This window comes from Homo sapiens, chromosome 12 (genome assembly GCF_000001405.40).
Source record: "Homo sapiens chromosome 12, GRCh38.p14 Primary Assembly".
NCBI classification, from domain to species: Eukaryota; Metazoa; Chordata; class Mammalia; order Primates; family Hominidae; genus Homo; species Homo sapiens.
In genome coordinates this window covers 20,093,612-20,112,856 of record NC_000012.12, presented here as the reverse complement: position 1 = coordinate 20,112,856, position 19,245 = coordinate 20,093,612, and the positions used below count along the sequence as shown (strand labels likewise).

At 40.9% G+C, this 19,245-nt stretch overlaps 2 long non-coding RNA genes across 3 annotated transcripts in view; one reads left to right on the top strand and one right to left on the bottom strand.

Annotated features, from left to right (window-relative positions):
- The first annotated feature begins 2,940 nt into the window (after nucleotides 1–2,940).
- Nucleotides 2,941–17,624, top strand: LOC105369685 (uncharacterized). Of its 2 annotated transcripts, XR_001749038.3 has the most exons (4): nucleotides 2,941–3,083; nucleotides 7,016–7,184; nucleotides 8,070–8,238; nucleotides 17,342–17,624. It is a non-coding gene; the product is annotated as an uncharacterized LOC105369685 (long non-coding RNA). The 2 variants fall into 2 exon arrangements; XR_931416.3 differs by lacking the exon at nucleotides 17,342–17,624 and having other exon boundaries at nucleotides 8,070–8,270.
- The window catches only part of LINC02398 (long intergenic non-protein coding RNA 2398), an 84,184-nt gene continuing 78,927 nt past the window's right edge, over nucleotides 13,989–19,245 (bottom strand). The window contains exon 3 of the long non-coding RNA NR_040098.1: nucleotides 13,989–14,105. This is a non-coding gene — a long non-coding RNA (long intergenic non-protein coding RNA 2398). The remainder of the gene's footprint in view (nucleotides 14,106–19,245) is intronic.

The window sequence follows — 19,245 nt, the reverse complement described above, 5'->3', positions numbered from 1 at the left end:
AGCATTAAGACCAGAATTATTTCCATGTTTAAATATGGTCAATTTCTATGTTTATTTAAAAAAAAAAAACCTGTATATAGAACGATTTAGGTGGTTTTAAAACCACATAAATGTTGGAGGGAGATATATGTAGATTCGGTCCCAGGCCTTAAATTTCTAACTGCCAGACTTTGGAGAAGTTACATCATGTCTGTGAGATGCTCAGATTCTCCATCTGTAATCTGGAGTAAACTGTTGGGTTATCGTAGGATTGTATGTCTGTGAAAAGTATTTTGCATTCTGCCTGATCTTTAGTAAGGAATCAGCAAGCGGTAACATTTCAACAGAAGTATTTATAGGCAATCATGAGGTACAAGGAAGAGAATGTCCAAGAGAAAAATAGGAAGGCTTCATAAAGGAAGTGTCACAAGAAGATAGACTTGAAAAATTAGTGTTGTTTTGCAGGTAGACAAAGGAGGGAGGACACTCCAGGTAGAGAGAGCAATGTGAGTAAAGGCACAGATACTTATGATGCAGGATTTTTCCCTGACCCCTTCATGGGACTCGCTATAGTCCCTTTCTTCTAATGGTAACATATATTCTGAAAAAAAATATATTGTTGGTTCTAATGTCTCCCTGTTGTATTCTCATTTCATTATCTGTGTAGAAGGTAAGCCCACAGTGCCTTTATCATAACTTGGCCCGTTTTCCTGATGCAATACTTGACTTGTTGATAGAGTTGGGCTGTTGAAAGTATCTAACTATAATCTTGGCAACAAATATTATACCAAAAGCTAACAGTTTTCCCTCATAATCAGTTTTTTCTTAAGCGCACTAGCAACTCCATTTTTACCTCTTTTTTGACTCATCTACACAACAGTTGAGCTTCTGCCACCAAATCTACTTGATACAATTCATACCACTCTCTCATGACAGTTATTCCCCATTTTTGTCCAACAGCTTTTTAAGAAAGTCAATACTGAGAATTCAAGTGCATTGACTCCCCTTTGCTTTCAATTATCTTCTAAAGATTATCTGATTTTTCTTTTCTTACTACCTAGTGCTTCCCTCCGTGTGTGTGTATTTGTGTGGTATTGTAGATTTCTGAGAATATTTAAGATCACCACTAGTGTCTCCTATGAGTATATCTTTACTGAGAGAATAGTGATATCAGAAATGCACTCTACACCTGAAGGCAGAAGATATTTATCTATTAAGTTTAGCTGTAGGCTGGTCTACCTTCTCGTCCTTTTCTTAGGATAAAGGAAGGTATGGAAATAGGATTCCCATGAGGGGAATACTATTCCTCTGGTGTAAGACATGATATAGAAGACCATGAAATTCCTTATAATAGAATACGAACGAAGTATTCAATTATGTTTTTAAGTCACAAGACACAAAGGCAAGTAAGGTTTTGTTCACTAAGGCTGAAGGGTTCTCTAAATCTTAAGTCCTAAGGATTCTAGGCAATTCTGAAAGATGTAGCAAGAATGACCCACATGATCTTGCAGTCACTGAGGCTAAGTAGGGTACACTGCCTGGAGTCTGACATAAGTGGTGAAGAAACAGACTCTAGAGCTAGGATACCACTTGTAGCCATGTCATCTTGGGAAAAGACCCTCACCTCTCATATGCTTCAGTTTCATCACCTCCAAAATCGTTTTGGCCTCATAGGTTTGTTATGAAGAGTTAAAGAACTGATACATTAAAGCTTGGCTGGGACATGGAAAGCCTTAATATATGTTGAATATTCTGGCTTATAATTCCAATGAGACTACTAAAGCAGAAAGATGAAGAAAAAACAAAAGTGCCATGCTGACCTACTCTCTCTAAAGCTAAAAGGGTTTGTCTTGGCCTGAGTACCAAGTGTTTATTTTACGTGATTAAGAATGGTTATGCACTTTCTACATGCTAAAATTTCACTGGTGCATATATCACGTAGCCCTCCTTCCCTCGTGGCTTCTCCTGCTCACCCCCTCTTCCCAACTGTTTTTTATACATAAGACAAACATTCTTCTCTGGAAGTCTCCACTCTGTGCACAGTTGATCCAAACGGGTCAGAGTTTAACTCTTTATTCCCTTGTATCTTTCCCCTTGCTTAGTTTTTAATTATGCTGATTCAATGTTAAATTCTAAAAGGATATTTCCATTCTGTTTTCAACTCTTACCTTTTGATATATTTTAAATGCTTCATTACTAACATTTTTCATAAAATAAACACACATATCATTCCCAAATCATGAAGATGTGTGATCCAAAACCATTCATTCTAAAAGAAAGAGAAATCCAGATCAGTAAAGGGAAAATGGGTCAGAAAAAAACACTGATGCAAGTTTTTATTTTAAATATATTGTGCTTACATTTCTTGTAAAATTATAATGATCAGGAACCAGCAGAATTTGAGTTATGGTTTTTATTCTATTTAAAATCCAACAGGGCCAACCAAGTGTCATAAAAGTGATTTTTTTTTTCTTCTTGCCTGATTGAATTAAGACATGACTGTTTTGGTACAAAGTTATCCTCAGAACTCAGTAGTTGACTTGAGCTTTGTTTAAGGGAATGAACAGTAAGGAAAAAGTTAAAGGAGTTCACCAAGCCCAAGCAAGAGAAACGTGGGACTGAATGCTCTCATGAGTCCACTACAGAATAAGATTTGTTTTAAATGAATGCGGTATCTCAGTTCAGATCTCTCAGTTTGGGGTTCTGTAGCAGCTGGCAGTCATTCTACCTTTTTTTTAAAATTTCCTAATTACAGTATATGTATCTAATCATTCTATCATACGTTTCATTTAACAAGCAAGCTCTAGGCCTTCTCTGTGTCACAGAAGAAAATATATTTTCATGAAGATTATAAGAAGGCAAACGAGGAAGGGAAACCATTTCCTGATAAAAGCTGTTTCTAAAAGATATAAATAGAAGCTTTTCCAGGACTGTAGCTTGATGCTATATTGGGAATCACGTAACATTTACAATCCACTTCTATGCAAGGCAGTCTTGTGCTAAAGAATTGCTAAAAGAGACAGTGCCTTTTGAATGCACCATATGTGTTATTCAAAAGCAGTGGCAAGTCGAAGCTCCTATCTTAATCCTCGCTTGTTATTATGGTAAGTAGCTTTCTGGTGTTTCGCTTTGTCCAGGTAGCATTGCAGTATTTTGCCCATTAGAAGCAGATAGTGAAAACTCTTCTCAAAATTCAATTTACTTGATCTGTTGCTACTATGATAGAATTTAAATTAAAGTTTTTTTAAAAATGGGATAAAATCTTACAGTTCAGCTCCTTTAGAATGAAAGAAATAGATTTAACACAAAAAGGGAAAGAGAATTCATTCAAATATCTAAAACTGTGCCAATGCATTGATCTAAAATGTTCATGAAAAGCTAATAAGAATGCCTAAAATTCTGAATTTAGAAACTTACTTTAATATATGAGTTTATTAGAAATACCTACGCATTGCCTTCCTAAAGAACCTGTGATATGTGAAAGTTTACATCCCAGTGTCTCAGTTTTTTGCATAAATTCTAGATTGTTCAATATTTTAAACAATTCTTAGAAAGAAATCTTACAAACAGATGTGCATAATAAAGTTGTTTGTGAAGCTCTCTAATTAAAATAATTCTGTGAACTTGGATACCAATGTCACTGTGATATTTCCCTAACACTAAATTTTATCATAAATTTTCAAGTTATAAATGGAATTCTTAACCTGAAGATGATGTAAAAGGATAGTAAAATTATGCTACATGTAAACCTGAGGAGGAATGATAATCATAGGACTATAGACAAAATTTTTCTCAAGAATATCAAAGGGCTGGCCAGGTGTGGTGGCTCACACCTGTAATCCTAGCACTTTGGGAGGCCGAGGTGGGCGGATCATGAGGTCAGGAGATTGAGACCATCCTGGCTAACATGGTGAAACCCCATCTCCACTAAAAATACAAAAAATTAGCCGGGCGTAGTGGCGGGCGCCTGTAGTCCCAGCTACTCGGGAGGCTGAGACAGGAGAAAGGCGTGAACCCGGGAGGCGGAGCTTGCAGTGAGCCGAGATCGTGCCACTGCACTCCAGCCTGGGTGACAGAGCAAGACTCCGTCTAAAAAAATAAAAAAGTGAATTGATAGTTCAATATAGCACTTATAATTTCAAGTGTAATGCCAAATAAGTAGAAAATGAATAAGTAACTTCTGAGCGAGAAGGGAAATGAAATAGTAAGAACAGTGGAGATGAGCAGAAAGTAGAAAATAAGATGGTAGATTTAAATCTAAATGTATAAATAAATAATTACATTAAATGTAAACAACGCTACAGTGAAATGACAATTTTTTCAGAGTAGATATGAACAATTCTTTTTAGCTAAAGACATATATAAATGAAAATACATGAAGGTTGATGAATCATGAAAAAAATCAAACAATAATCAAAGTTGATGTTGGCTTCAAGAGGCAGTGTAAGTTTCCTACAGCCCGTTTTCTGCTGATTATAACTGAAAACTCTGCGTGGGCAGGAGGAACTGTCTGAGGCTCTCTGAAACATAAAGGGGAAGGGAGTTAAAACTTGAAGAAGTGGCCAAGGTGGGCAGATCATGAGGTCAGGAGTTTGAGACCAGCCTGACCAACATGGTGAAACCCCGCCTCTACTAAAAATACAAAAATTAGCCGGGCTTGGTGGCGTGTGCCTGTAATCCCAGCTACTCAGGAGGCTGAGGCAGGAGAATTGCTTGAACCTGGGAGGCGGAGGTTGCAGTGAGCCGAGATCGCACCATTGTGTTCCAGCCTGGGCGACAGAGCGAGACTCTGTCTCAAAAGAAAAACAAAACAAAACAAAACTTGAAGAAGTAATCCACACACAGGAGTAAGTTTCACTTTTTTTCTTCCATTTCTGCTCCAAGAGTGGACCCCCGTTGGACAGTAGTACAATGCAGACATCTAAAACTCAAAACCCCACCTTCTCTTTTTCCAGATTAGTCATGAAAAAAAGCTCTAGCAGGCAGGAGAGTAAAAGAGACAGAGCCATAAAAAGTTTCTCCTAATTCTGTTTATGAACTCACAAGAGTCTTGTCCTAGGTTCTGAACCACACATGCACAGGACAGACAGAAATCAGGATAGCAAAGGCTTAGAAAACTGAACAGAGATGTAAGGCACCATGCACAGAAAATGAGTCAAAGCTCATAATATGCAACTAATTAGGTTGATTACCTGCTAAAGCAAAAACAACATCCTCCAATGGAATCTCACAGAAGCCAGAGTCTACACTCATAACATTTACAATGTGCTGCATAAAATCCAAATTACCTGACAAAGACCTATTCTTTTTTTCTTTTTCTGAGACAGTCTCGCACTGTCACTTCGGCTAGAGTGCAATGGCGCGATCTCGGCTCACTGCAACCTCCGCCTCCCGGGTTCATGTGATTCTCCTGCCTCAGCCTCCCGAGTAGCTGGGATTACAGGCGCACACCACCACACCTGGCTAATTTTTTTGTATTTTTAGTAGAGACGGGGTTTCACTATGTTGCCCAGACTAGTCTCAAACTCCTGACCTTGTGATTAGCCCGCCTCGGCCTCCCAAAGTGCTGAGATTATAGGCATGAGCCAACACACCCAGCCCCAAAGTCCCATTCTTAACGGAAAGGCAGCTGTAATAACTACATCCATACAAAAAGGAAAACAAAAAATAAATGAAAAATAGAAAATCACAATAGAGATATATACACTATAAAAAAGAGAAGTGAAAACTTAAGGACTAAAAAAATACAATGCCTGAAATAAAAATGTCAATTAATGGTCTTGAAAGTAGAATGAAGTGACAAAGAAAAGATTCTGTGAATTTGGAGATATGTCAATAAAAAGTATCCATATGAAGAACTGAGAGAAAAAATGTTTTTTAAAATATCTATAGCCTAAAGGATCTATGGATTAACACAAAAAGATCAAAGACGTGTATTTAGGCCTAGATATTTATAAAAGTTTAAGTATGTATATGATAATCCTCATAATTCCACTTTAAAAATACAGAGATGTAACCAAAAAGACAACAGATAAATTAAAATGAAATATTAAAACAAAAACTGTCAATCCAATAGAAGGCAGAAAAAGAAGAAACAAAAAACAGAAAAAACAAGCCCGTTCCCGCTCCCCAAAATGGTACACTGAAATCCAACCATATTAATAATTACATTAAATGTTAAAGATGTCAGACAAGTGAAACAAAATACTGCCTTACAGGCCAAATCCAGTCTGCCACCCATTTTTGTAAATAAAGTTTTATTGGAACACAGCCATGCTCATTTGTTTATATATTATCTATGGCTGCTTTGTATGACAATGAGAGTTGAATAGGTGCAACTGAAATTGTGTGGCCCACAAGGCCAAAAATATTTATTTGGTCCATTACAAAAAAAGTTCACCAACCATTGGTCTAAATCTCTGCTATGCAATAGAAATATAATACAAGCCACTTATGTGATTTTTTGCTGCAGGTACATAAAAAAGTAAGCAAACTTAAAAACAGGTGAAAATAATTTTTAAAATATATTTTATGTAACCCAATATGTCCAAATTATGATGTAAACACATAATCAATATAAAAAGGTATTTAAAAGATATTTTACAATCTTCCTACTAAGTCTTTGAAATCCTGTGTGTATTTCCAATAACAGCACAACTCAATTCATACCTGCCATATTTCAAGTGCTCAGTAGCCACATGTGGCACATAGCCATGGTAATGCATTGCACAAGTCTAAACACTTCAAGAGATGAGACTTTGGTAAGAGAGATCAGCATGTGTTGCTTGGGAAGAATGTAAATAATGGTAGCCAGAGAGAGGACTGTGATATATTAAATATGGCCACAAAAACATTGCAACTCCTGTCATTAAGTAGTGGAATCTATTTACCTATTCCTTGAAAATAGGCTTACCTTCTGACTTGTTTTGACTAACAGAACGTGATTAAAAAGTGTTGTATGAGTTCTAGAGCCTAATTCTCAATAAGTCTTGCAGCTTTTTCTTTACATGCTTGGAAATTACCCTTGTTGTTTAAGGAAGCCTGGATCCAACTTTTGAAGGATAAGAGATTTCACAGATCATTGATTACAAAGGCAATAGCCAACACCAACACCCCAGACATGAGAGGGATGCTACCTTCGATGCAGCCTCCCTGCCCGGCCCCAGTCAAGCCACCGATGACTGCTACTACCTGAGCAAGCCCAGGTGAGGCCTGCGGAAAACAGCCTGGCTTACCCAAGGCAAAATTTCAGAATCATGGGCACATACATGGTTGTTGTTTGAAGCCATTAGGTTTTGGAGGGCAGGAATGTAACGCAGCAATAGATGACTGACAGAATATAATTCTATAACCCACGTCACCTGTGTAAGGCCTTTCTGGGAAGTAGGATTTCTTGCTGAGCAAACTTCTATGCCTTTTACTAAAGTACTGAGAAAATTTAGCTGCTCTCTTGGGATGAAAAGAAATTTAGGGCTATTTTTAGCCCTCTCTGCCACTTATAGTTTCTAAACAGCTCTTTTCATTGCCTATTGTCACGTCTATGGCCAGGACACATCTGTAAGACTACACTTTCTGGCATTCCAGTGAAAAGAGCCATTTAGTCTCTCTACTCTCAGACTTACATTCCTACATTTAATAAGAAATGCTGTAATATTCCCTTTTTCTATGTTTTCTAAGATTATGGTTGTCTAACTCCCTCCTTCCCTCTACAGCTTAACAAGATTAGCTTATACGGTGGTGGAGTGGGTGGCTGCTTCTGCCCAGTCACCTCTTTTCCTAATTTTTTCCTGTCTTAAAGCTATTCATGACAGATTCCCTTTGAAAAACCTCTGGCTGGCCAAAATGCAGTCCGGTCACAAGTCTAAAGTATACGAATGAGAGTGAATAGAGAATGGGAAATACATTGGTTGTTTGCACATTATCCTACACTATGGTTTCAATGGTTGTCTCCTCTGAAATTTATGTTGAAGCTTAATCCCCAGCCTGGCAGTATTGAGAGGTGGGCCTTTAGGAGGTGACTGGGTCATGAGGGATGGATTAATCCATTCATAGATTAATGGATAAATGGGTCAATGGATGGGTTTTCACAGGAGTGGGACTGGTGGCTCTGTAAGAAGAGGAGGAGGCACCTGAGCTGGCACACTCAGCTCCTTCACCATGTGATGCCCTGCACCACCTCAAGACTGCAGAGTCCTTACCAACAAGACGGCACTCACCAAATGCAGCCCTTAGACCCTGGACTTCTCAGTCTTTTTAACTGTAAGAAATAAATTCCTTTTCTTTATAAATTACCCCATGTTTCAGGTACTCTGTTATAAGCAACACAAAACAGACTAAGACATCTTACCACATTCATCTATCCAAATAAGTTGCAAGTATATGGTCAGTAAGTTATCTTATAAGTGCTCCCACACTGAATGCATGGTAAATGCCAAATATGTAATTGTAATGTATTGGTTGAGCCAATAAATCCATCCAGATAGAATTCATGCCCTTCACATGTTGGTTTTACTCTTCTCTGGATGATGGTGTTACCTCCGATCATTTTGTACTCAGTTGGCATAAATTTTTCTCTAAGGCTGGGCACAGTGGTTCACACCTGCAATCCAAGCACTTTGGGAGGCTGGGACGGGCAGATCACCTGAGGCCAGGAGTTCAATACCAGCCTGGCCAACATGGTGAAATCCTGCCTCTACTAAAAATACAAAAATTAGCTGGGCGTGGTGGCAGGCGCCTGTAATCCCAGCTACCTGGGAGGCTGAGGCAGGAGAATTGCTTGAACCCAGGAGGTGGAGGTTGCAGTGGGCCGACATCGCGCCACTGCACTCCAGCCTGGGTGACAAAGTGAGACTCCATCTCAAAAAAAAAAAAAAATTCTCTAAACAGCCATGTAGACCATTAGTGTCTACTGGATAATTTTCTACTCAGAGACAAATAGAAAAGTGAATATGGGAGAGAAAGAGAGAGAATTATTGTTCACTTCATACCCATGAGAACATATTCTTAGTTCCCTTTTGACAGAAAATAGAGAAGTCCTTAATCTATAATTTTTGATGCTTTGATTAACCCAACAAAACAATAGCTGTGGTTTACAATCTGCTCCAATCAAGTAGATTTTATAGCTCACTGATTTTCTAAAATATCCTCATAAATAGATTCTATTATTATTACTATAAGACAGTGTTATTATGCCAGTCATTGACACAATGTATGTGGGAATCAGTGCAAGACCCTGGAACATTGGTCTGGCATGAAACATAAATGAGATGCCATTCATTATATGAATGAATAAAAATATGGCTGGGTGCGGTAGCTCACACTTGTAATCCCAGCACTTTGGGAGGCCAGGGCAGGCAGAACACTTGAACCCAGGAGTTTGAGACCAGTCTGGCAACATGGAAAAACCCCATCTCTACTAAAAATATAAAAAACTAGCCAGGTATGGTGGCACATCTTCAAGTCACAGCTACACGGGAGGCTCAGGCAGGAGAATCACCTGAGCTCAGCAACTCAAGGCTGCAGTTAGCCATGATCATACCACTGCACTCCAGCCTGGGTGACAGGAGTGTGACCCCGTCTATAGATTCTCTACTAATTTTCTAAATCATCAATGTGATTAGGAAATGGCAAGAGCTCAGATTTATCTAACAAGCAGCATTTTTTCAAAAATCCAAATTCTTTTTTTTTTTTTTTTTTTTTGAGACGGAGTCTTGCTCTGTCGCCCAGGCTGGAGTGCAGTGGCGTGATCTCGGCTCACTGCAAGCTCCACCTCCTGGGTTCATGCCATTCTCCTGCCTCAGCCTCCCGAGCAGCTGGGACTACAGGTGCCCACCACCATGCCCGGCTAATTGTTTTTTGTATTTTTTTTTTTAGTAGGGATGGGGTTTCACCGTGTTAGCCAGGATTGTCTCGATCTCCTGACCTTGTGATCCACCTGCCTTGGCCTCCCAAAGTGCTGGGATTACAGGCGTGAGCCACCGCTCCTGGCCCAAAAATCCAAATTCTTAGCTATCTCTTTTCAGATCCTATTGAAACTTTAAGACAAAATAATAAAAATATTTTTGGAAATAATATAAAATGAATACATAACATGTTTTCCATACATATGTAGGTCAAAGTGATGGCAGCGGTGTCCCATCCAGAGTGGTCTCTGCAAAGATGCCGACTACAGCAGGGGGAGGCATGGCTGGGGCTGCATGCCCTGTGGAGCTGGCAGGGCTGGGAATAGGTGGAACCCAGCCCCCTACCCAATTGGCAGAGCGGGAGCCCCACACTCCCAGGCACAATTGCAGCTGCTCAGCTGTGGCTCTCGACCCAGGCATCCCTGCATTCTTAGGGGCAAGGAAGCCCTCTTTCCTAGGCAGGCTTGGAGGTACCTGCTCCTGCTCCCTGGCCTTTCCCCACTCCTTGCACCCGCTCCAGGACAGAATGAAGTCGTGGCTGAGCCTGAGCACTGTTGCAACCCTGCTGGCTGTGCACACACTTGGGGTGGGACTGACACACCAGCCTCCTGCTGCCTTGGCCCCCTCCAGACTTTGGGCACTAACCTAGCATGGGAGGGAGGCCAAGCTGGGGGCTGAGGGCAGCTTGGCACAGGCCTGCAGGTGCCCCTCTGTATGAACAGCCTGGGCATGGTGGACAACAGGAGGCACACAGACTCCTGGGGAGAAAGGGGTGGGTTCCTGGTGAAACCCCACCCTCAAGCCAGGGATGGCCTGAAGCCTGGGGGCTGGGCTGCCAGCTCCAGGTGGAGGTTGCAGCCCATAGTGAGAACTTATGGTGCTTTTTTCCAGCCACCCATGGCCATCCGTGGACCAGTCGACATGTACTTCCTCCCTTCTGAGCCCATTAAAAAAATCCCAGACTCAGCCAAACTCAGAGAGCTTTCAGGACTACCAGCTGCAAAAACGAGCTACCCATTTTGGGTCTCGTTGACTGTTGGGATGATCTGCCTGCAGAAAACAGCTACCCACTGCAGTCTCTTCTCCACTGATTGCTGAGAGTTGGGTACTTGTTGGGACAACCTGCCTGCTGAAAGGAGCTACCCACTTCAGGTCTCCCGTGAACTGTCCTGTGCACAATGAAGCTCCTCTCCGCCTTGCTCACCCTCCAGTTGTCCACGTACCTCATCCTTCCTGGGTGCGGGACAAGAACTTGGGACCCACTAAATGGGCAGGACTGAAAGAGCTGTAACACAAACAGGGCTTAAACATGCCCCCCAGCTCATCAATTTGCAGTTGATGAGAAGGAGACAAGAGCTGCAGCCCTCTGGGGAGCCCAGACCTAAGGGCTCCCGGAGCCAGGGCTGTGGCACCCTCTTGGGGCTCTGCAGTTCCTGATGTCTCCAAGCTTCCAGGCAACATTGTGTTCCCCTTGTCCAGATGCAGGTGCCCACAGTGGGAGCCACATGTGGTACATCTGGTCCAGCTGCAGCCTATCAGTGATCCAGCACCTGTGCTGGCACCTGGAGCTGCCCACCCCTCCGCAGGAGCCAGCATGCCTGGCTGTGTGCAGTGGCCAGACCCGTGCTCACTCACCCACATACCCCTTGCCACTCCATGCCTGGCTCACCCTTGGCAGGTGTGGAATTCAGGCCAGTAGTGCAAGCTGAGTGCAGCCTGCCAGGCAGAGTGGGCGGAAGGAGCCCAGCGAGACCCAGCAATACTCAGGCAGAAGGCCCCGCCAGCTACAGAGGTTTCCAGCTGGTGAAGTAACACCCCAAAGAATCTCATAACAGATGTTTACAAAGTGAGCAAACTCTGCTGTCTTATTCTAGAGAGATAGCAAGCAGAATGACATTGGCAAATATGGGAGACTCTTAGAAGGTCCTGATATAAATTTTGAAAAAAAAAAACTTTATGATTTCGAAAAGCTAATTTCAAAGTCTGATTAAATATTTTAGCTTATTAACTTCACTTAGTAAATAATTTCAAAGTCTGATTAAATATTTTAGCTTCTTAATTTCACTTAGTAAATAACTACTTCCAAAAATGTAATAATGTAGGTAAATGAGCATCCCATAACAAAAGGTCCATTAAAAGACAGTTTTTAAGAAAAACTTCCTGCTTTTTACTACTTTTTATCCAAAAAGAAGAAAAGGAAAAGGAAAGAAAATACCCTTAGTACAATTTTTATTTCTTTGTTGCTTTTGTTCTCTCCACTCGGTTTATTTTCTTTTTGAGTCCAGGTATTTAATTTCATCAAGCCAAATGGTTGCATCATTATAAAAGATTTTGATTTCAAATAATGCTGGATTTGATGGAACCAGTGATTCTAAACAGGCATAACAATGCATCAGGACTTCTCAGAGAAACACAATGGAATAATAAAATATGATTCATAAATATAAAATTTACAATATTAGTAATTTTGTTGAAAATACCTACTGAGCCAAGTTCTCCTTGGTGCCAAAGTCACTCCCCAACAGTAAATATAACAGTTCCAAAAAGTGGAGTTCCAGTAGCCTGAGAAAGTTAACACTGTTCTTGAAGGATTAACTGAAATCCAAAGAAAACACAAACCCGTAAGTGTAGAGAGTTTCATTAAACTGAAATTAAGAGCAGTGCTTTGAGAGACTGCTACAGAGAAAGCCAGGTTAAAAAGTGTCTTTTCAGTTGAAAAGAATAATAACCACTTAAAAACTATTCAAGGTCATTTAAATACAAATATTATATTAAGTCCATTTGACCATAGTTTCTGGAAGGCTTAAGACTTTTGGGGATTTTTTTAAAATACAATATGCAAACTTTTTAATGCATATATGTATTTTCCCCTCAGACTCTTAAAGCAAACTAAATTTCCACCCAGATATGTAAATATGCATACACAAAATGCCTTTAAGTTACTCTCTTTCTTGGCTCAGAATCCTGTGTATAGTATGTATGATGTTAATGAAGTTAATTACAAACCTGTGGTCAGGATGCGAACCCACCCCCATGACCTCAGGGATCTTATTCTATCTGTTACAAACTCTTTCTCCAATACCTTCAACATCTCTTGTTTACCCAGGCAGACTGGCACCCTTAATTGTTTCTTCTCTGTGGGCAACAGAAGCTCTATAGGAAAAGTGGTGACTACGTTCTCAATGCATAAGCAACTTCAGGATCTACCTCCTAGGGTTCACTTTAAGGCTTTTCATGACAGCTTTATTTACTCTTGTTTGTTTTTGTTTCCATCGTCTCCAATTGAGGGTCTCCCTTAGATACATGACAGTTGAAAACTCCACCTGCCTTTTAGTTCTCTCCCCTCTTGGAGGACTTTTTCCTTTGTTCTGCAGCCCAGAGGCCAGTCTCACCCTCACTCTGCTGACTGTTTTCTGGGTCTTGGGCTCACCTCAGGGCCTGGCCTGTCCATGGCCCCGCTTTACTCTTTATCCACACATGGAGTTAGCAGAAACCGAATCTTTTCTTACAGCTTTTAAATATGTTTCAGTCTGTCTCATCTAAAAAAATCTTTCATTACTTAAGTTCCTACTGTAGGTTCAATCCCGCTGTCTCCTTCTCTTTTTAATCAAGCTCCTTGAAAATATAGCCTGAACTTCAGTCTCTATTTCACGACCCCCAGAACATTGGCTTCTGTTCCCAGCAGCACAAAGAGCTTGCTCTTGCTAAGGATGCCACTGGCGACATCACTAGCTCCAGGGGATACTCTTGTAAATTTATTTCAAACTCACTGTGGCTTGAGACACTATAGACCATTCCCTCTTCCTTGGAATTCTCTCTGATGATATGTGTGGCACTTCATTCTTCTGGCTTCCTGGAAAAAATAATTACATTAAGTACAAATGAAAATTATCTCAAACATTCATAAAAGTATGAAGATCGTAATACGAAACTTCTTAATAGTACTACACATTGAGTACAAAGCAGCAAAAACTGCAGACAGGTGCTACATGTCGGTCTTCAATATCTACTTGTTTCACTTTACCGGAAAGGTGCTGAGTGGGCCAGGAGTCATTCCAAGTTGGTTTTGATTCTTGAGGACAGGGAAGATAGTCTGGGGCCCAAACCAGATCTACAGCCGGTACCAGACAAATTGTATCAAAGCCTAATGCTTCGCCTGGAGGGTCAACTCTCCAGAACTAAGATTCTCCTACAGTTGAAGCAGGTATGGTAGCCTGAAGTTTCCTGATAGAAAAAGAAAAATAAAATGAAGGAAGAAGTGAAAAATTGGACAGGCTCAATTCTTTGTCTCCACTGTAATTTTCAGAGTGGTTGATGTGAGGTGCAGGGCTGAAGGCTGGCTGGAGGGAACGAGGTGCTTTCAATGATATGCTGGCTTTTCTGAGTGGAAGGGTAAGTGTCAGATCTGCTTTACCCTCCCACTGAAGTTTCTTTCAGTTCAACAGGTATTCCTTGAATGTCCACTATATGCCAGGCATTCTGATGGGCAATAGGGTCACAAAGACAAGGAAGGCACAACCTGTATCCTCAAGGAGCATCAGTTTGGTGAACACTTGATTTCATCAGGTGAGGATCAGAGAGGCTCCTCTCCAGTGAAACATCAGGATCCTTAACTCATCTGGTGGATTCTCCCCATTCTTCTCTGCTGAATTCACCAACCCAATTACACTCCTCAGTGCCCTGACAATCCTGTTTGTACCTATGCTTCTGAGCTTTCTTTCCTAATGATACCTTGGATAAAGATTTTATTACTATCCTCTGTTTGTTAAAGGAAATTTCATTTCCTGTGAATTTATTATTATGGGTATCAATGTACTGCCTGCATTAGTCTTTAAGAGATGCTGTTTCTGTTGGCTAAAACATTGGCAGAGTCTTTTGGCTCATCCCATGTTATCCACATTTCTGTTCCTTTTGTAAGTATTCCTATTGCTTTGGGATTTTAGTTGTTAAGAGGATAGTCAAATAGAATCAAAACAATTATTCAATAATGTGCATGCCAAGGTTTCCTGGCATCACTTACCAAAAATCTACAGTGTTACAGTGTATTGCCCAAATATTTTATTTACATTCAACTTGTCCCAAGGTATTGCTAAGAATAGAAATGAATATATAGCCTGTTTGCTCGGAGTATTAAGCTACATAGCCAAATTTGGATACGTTAATGTTGTATCTGTATCTCCCTCATGAATAGAGGATATGGGATTGAAAAATGACTAGCATGGAGGACAGAATGACTCAGAAATCTAAGAATAGCCAAATCATGTGAAAAGACCCAAAGGCTGCTTCAAAATGAACTGCATCTGCCTGACTCACAAAACTGGCAAATTACACTATTTAGATCTATGCAAAATAGCATTTCACCAGCATTTTATCTGCATATTTAATTTTGCTTTGGGTTAGTACAGATTTACCTTCTTTCTGTGAGATAATGTACAGGTTCAAAGGTGTACTCTAACTCAGAAAATAATCAAATTTGTTTTGTTTCTATCAGATTATAAAGTCATAACTTGGAGTCTTCAAAGTTGTTTTAGGAATAGATTTGAAAATACACTTTGGTTGAACCAAGTGCTCCTCAGAAGTCTAGGAGACACTAGCCACCGAAGCACTGAGAAAGGAAGATAAAAGCCTCTGTTACTATGGGAGGTCCAGTGTTGCCCTAGATAAGCACTTATCCAGGATTCTGGGAATAATCAAACCTTCTAAATAGAGTGTCCCCTCTGCTTTAGGATCATTAGCTGCTTTATTGGAATCTAATTGGGAAGAGAGCCAATATTAATATGGGGAGACACACTCTTTACTATGCTCATCACCACACTCACCACCAATATACCATCAAGGAAAGAATGCAAGAGGCGGTCACAAAAGCTGAATGTCCTGCGTTAGCCACCATGTCAGTTACCCTCATTACCATCACACTGTGCCCCCTTGAATTCCCACAGTTTGCTCAGCAAACAAACCTATATCCCGAACCTCTCCCCTGAAAGTCCTTGAAGCCCCTTGCCTTTGTTGAATTCTGGATCTCGTCTATGGGCTCAGCCTCCCTGTGGCCCTCTCACATGAAGGTTGTTTTCCTCAGAAGTACTAAAGGCATCCTTGCAACCACCATAGGCATCTTTGCAAACACCATTGCTGTCTCCACACCATTATTTCATCTGTAAATCCCCTGCTTCTTCTAGTTTCACGCCAACTGGAAAAAATACCCAACTCCTTCATCCTGGCTGTTATCTACCAGTCTCCCATTTATCTCCCCTCATTTATTGAAGATGTTAACTTCCGGTTATCTCTCATCATGCACAATGACTCCAACATCAATACAGATGACTCACTCAGCAGTCTGGCTTCTCAGTTTCTTGACCTTCTCACTCCAATAGTTCCCTTCTGGTCCATTTGGCCACTTACTTCAAAGAGCTCATTCTTCACTTGTTTACGCAAAAATGCCCATCCCTAAAACTTTGATCGCAGATGCTCCCTTCTCTCACCGCTACCATTTAGCTTTCCACCCATATATCTTAGATGCCTCACCCTTCGATGTCAATGAGCCAATCTACCATTTTCTGCAGTTACCTTCAGCCCCCCTCCACGCTTCCATTTCCTCCTTCTCTGTCTTAGATGATGTGGTCCTTCTTTATGAATTCTCTTTCACAATTATTTTTAACTCCCTTTTGCCACTTTTCCCTTACGTACCAGCTTACTAAAACTCTAATCCAGTATGGATTAAACCATTTATGTTCTCCTTGCCAGTGAATATTGCACAGAAAAATTACATGACCAAACTGACTTTTTATTTTACTTTATTTTTTTTCTTCTTTTGTATTTGTAATAATGTTAAGGAGTGCAAATGCAGTTTTGTTATGTAAACTTATTTTGTAGTGGTGAAGTCTGGGCTTTTATTATAACCATTACTTGAATAATGGACATTGTAGCCATTAAGTAATTTCTTATCCCTCACCCTCTCCCACTCTCCCACCCTTCTGAGTCTCCAGTGTCTATTACTCCACTCTGTTGTCCATGTATACACACTATTTAGCTCCCACTTATAAGTGAGAACATGCAGTATTTGACTTTCTGTTTCTGAGTTTTTCACTTAAGATACTGGCCTTCAGTTTGTCCATGTTGCTGCAAAAGACATGATTTCATTCTTTATTACAGCTCAATTGTATTTCATTATACACACACACACACGCACACACACCACATTTTCTTTATCCAGTCATCCAAAGATGGATGCTTAGGTTGATTCCATATCTTTGCTATTGTGAATACTGCTGCAGTAAGAGTGCTTTTATTTTAAGTGCATTTTCTTTTAAAAAGTCAAATTCAATAACAAGTTGACTGTTCAATAACAAGAGCAATCTGTTGTGTTTTTCTTATAGGCTTGGTTTTCTATCCCAAGATGATTATTTCACACCTGTTTTGTCTCCTCAAACTTCATCCTAAGGTATCCTTGGTTATCCTTTCAGCTGAAGACTTCGCCTTATATGTCAATAGAGAAAGTAAGAATGGCCAGTGGGAAATTCTTCAGCCCTTCACCACCGCTTCTACATACAAAGAAGATTCTAAAGAAAATGACCTCAATCAGATGGCAGCATAGGAGTTTTTGGTGCTCATCCCCTAACGGAAGCATCAGTTTGAATAAGCATCCATGCAGGCTGTACCTTCATGAGAGCTAAGGATTCCAGGTGAGAGATTATATCACCTCAATTGAACACAGCAATAAGAAAAGAAACACTGAAGATAGCAGAGGACACAATTTCACTTTACCCATGTCACCCCCTCCTCCAAGCCCATGTAGTGCAGCTCAGAGAGACATACCCTTCTCATGGGGAAAAGAGAGTGAAATGAGTACCCAACTTCACCACCAACCCCAGGACCAGACCCAGAAAATCCCAACACCGAGCCAGCCCCTGTGGATACAAGCTCCAGGCCCACCTGCCCACTGACCCAGACACTGGGCCAGCCTGCCCAAGAACTCCAAAAGCAAGCTTGCTCGTGGTCCCTGCCAGCTAACCTACCTCGAATCTCTAGATGAGCTGACAGATGAAGGGCTCTTTCTTCCAAAGCCAGTCTGTAAAGATTGGCAAAGGTGCCTACTTCTCCCAGTGCATAAACACCCAAAGCCAGGCCACAGAAACATGGAACGTCATCACTGACTCTTCCTTTTCTCAGGACATGTCACCATTTCATGAATTTAAAAAATCTGTCTATTCTTTCACTAAAATGTGTCTTAAATCCACGCACTTCTCTTCATTTTCATTGCCAACAAGATAGCCTAAGTCACTAACATCTCTTTTCTAGATTTCTCTATGAGCCTCTTAACTGAGCTACCTATTCAGAACAACCCCATGGGCATGAGACCTGTGCAGTCACCCCGGCCCTGCACTTAAAAGAGCCCTGAGTTTTGTTTAATGCTCTGCTGTTGTTGTCTTGAATTTTTAATAATTTTTGATCAAGGGGACCACATTTTCATTTTGCACTAGAACTCACAAATTATGTAACATGTCCTGTTCCCATTTGTAGCCTTGTTTCTTCTTATCCACTCTATGCTAGAAGTCAGGGTAATATTTTAGTAATGTTAATCATGACACTTCCCTGCGTAAAACATACTGATGGCTTTTCATTGCATTTGTTTTTATTTTTTTATTTTTCTGTAAGCTATTGGGGTATTGGGATACAGGTAGTATTTGGTTACATGAGTAAGTTCTTCAATAGCGATTTGTGAGATTTTGGTGCATCCCTCACCCGAGCAGTATACACTGCACCATATTTGTAGTCTTTATCCCTCATCCCCCTCACACTCTTCCCTAAGCCAATGTCTAGAAAGGTTTCTCCAATGTTATCTTCTAGAAATTTTATAGTTTCAAGTCTTAGGTTTAAGTCCTTAATCCATCTTGAGTTGATTTTTGTATAAGGTGAGAGATGAGGATCCAGTTTCATTCTCCTACATGTGGCTTGTCAATTATCCCAGCATCATTTGGTGAAAAGGGTGTCCTTTCCCCACTTTATGCTTTTGTTTGCTTTGTTGAAGATCAGTTGTCTGTAAGCATTTGGGTTTATTTCTGAGTTCTCTATTCTGTTCCATCGGTCTATGTGCCTCTTTTTATATCAGTACCATGCTGTTTTGGTGACTATGGCCTTATAGTATAGTTTTAAGAGGTGACAGCGTGCTGGCAGCCCTCACAGCCCTCGCTGGCTCTCGGCGCCTCCTTGGCCTTGGCGCCCACTCTGGTGGTGCTTGAGGAGCCCTTCAGCCCGCCACTGCACTGTGGGAGCCCCTTTCTGGGCTGGCCAAGGCCAGAGCCGGCTCCCTCAGCTTGCCGGGAGGTGTGGAGGGAGAGGCGCAGGCGGGAACCAGGGCTGCACCTGC